At 42.1% G+C, this 993-nt stretch overlaps 1 annotated feature.

Moving 5' to 3' along the window:
- Positions 546-715: an enhancer, noted in NCBI's record as "experimental_24921 CRE fragment used in MPRA reporter constructs". NCBI's record gives its function as "activates a minimal promoter by MPRAs in K562 erythroleukemia cells, with activity observed for both the introgressed and non-introgressed 12:114967310 variant alleles {active_cell/tissue: K562}" and the evidence as "EXISTENCE:reporter gene assay evidence [ECO:0000049][PMID:34662402]".

The following is a 993-nucleotide window of genomic DNA, read 5'->3' as shown; positions in this document are numbered from 1 at the left end:
TATGACACTCATAGCAATTTCCAGGAATTTCTCTTACAGCAATTCTCATAGAAATGTGCAAAGATGCAATTATTAGGATGTTCACTACATCATTGTTTATGTACTACAAAGTATGGGAGAAGCTGAACAGGAGTCACTATTGTCCCATGGGTAGGAGAAAGAATGATACCCTATTGAACTCTATTTAAAGTGATGACAATGGACAAATGACACACATCTGCCCCTTCCCTCCCCTCTATTACACTCCCTGGATATTTTCACTGTCTTAAGCCTAAGGGTAGCATGCCAATTCTTCAAACTGCAACTTGTTTTACTTTTAGGGGATTTGAATGCAATTTCTCCTTTTTAAAAACTGGTTTTTTAAAATTTATTTTTGAGACAGGGTCTTGCTGTGTCCCCCAGGCTGGAGTGCAGTGGCACAGTCATGGTTCACTGCAGCCTCAACCTGCTGTGCTCAATCAGTCCTCCCAGATCAGCCTCCCAAGTAGCTGGGAGTACAGATGCTCATTACCATGCCTAGATAATTTTTAAATTTTTTGTTAAGATGGGGTCTCACTCTATTGCCCAGGCTGATCTCCAAAATATTGCATGATCTCATTTATAGGTGGAATCTAAATAAGTCAAATACATAGAAACAGAGAATGGAACAGTGGTTACCAGCTCAAGCTCCTCCCACCTTCACCTCCCAAAGTGCTGGGATTACGGGCGTGAGCAACTGTGCTTGACCTGGATACAATTTCTTCATATGCATTCATTCATTCATTCAGAGTGGATCCAGTTGTATCCCCAGGAACGTTTCTGAGCCATAGGGTGTCTCAGCTTGAATTTTTTTATCCAGAAGCAGACCCAATAAAAGGTTGTGAGTGAAAGTAATTTGGAAGGTGGATGACAAAATGAGACAGGGCAAGATAACAACCAATACGGTGTTTGAAAGCATGTTGCTAGTGTGGGCAGCTGGCATTTGGTCCCACTGCAGACCTCGGAAAGACTGCA

Source organism: Homo sapiens, chromosome 12, assembly GCF_000001405.40.
Source record: "Homo sapiens chromosome 12, GRCh38.p14 Primary Assembly".
Taxonomy (NCBI): domain Eukaryota; kingdom Metazoa; phylum Chordata; class Mammalia; order Primates; family Hominidae; genus Homo; species Homo sapiens.
This window is presented reverse-complemented; position numbering and strand designations above follow the sequence as displayed.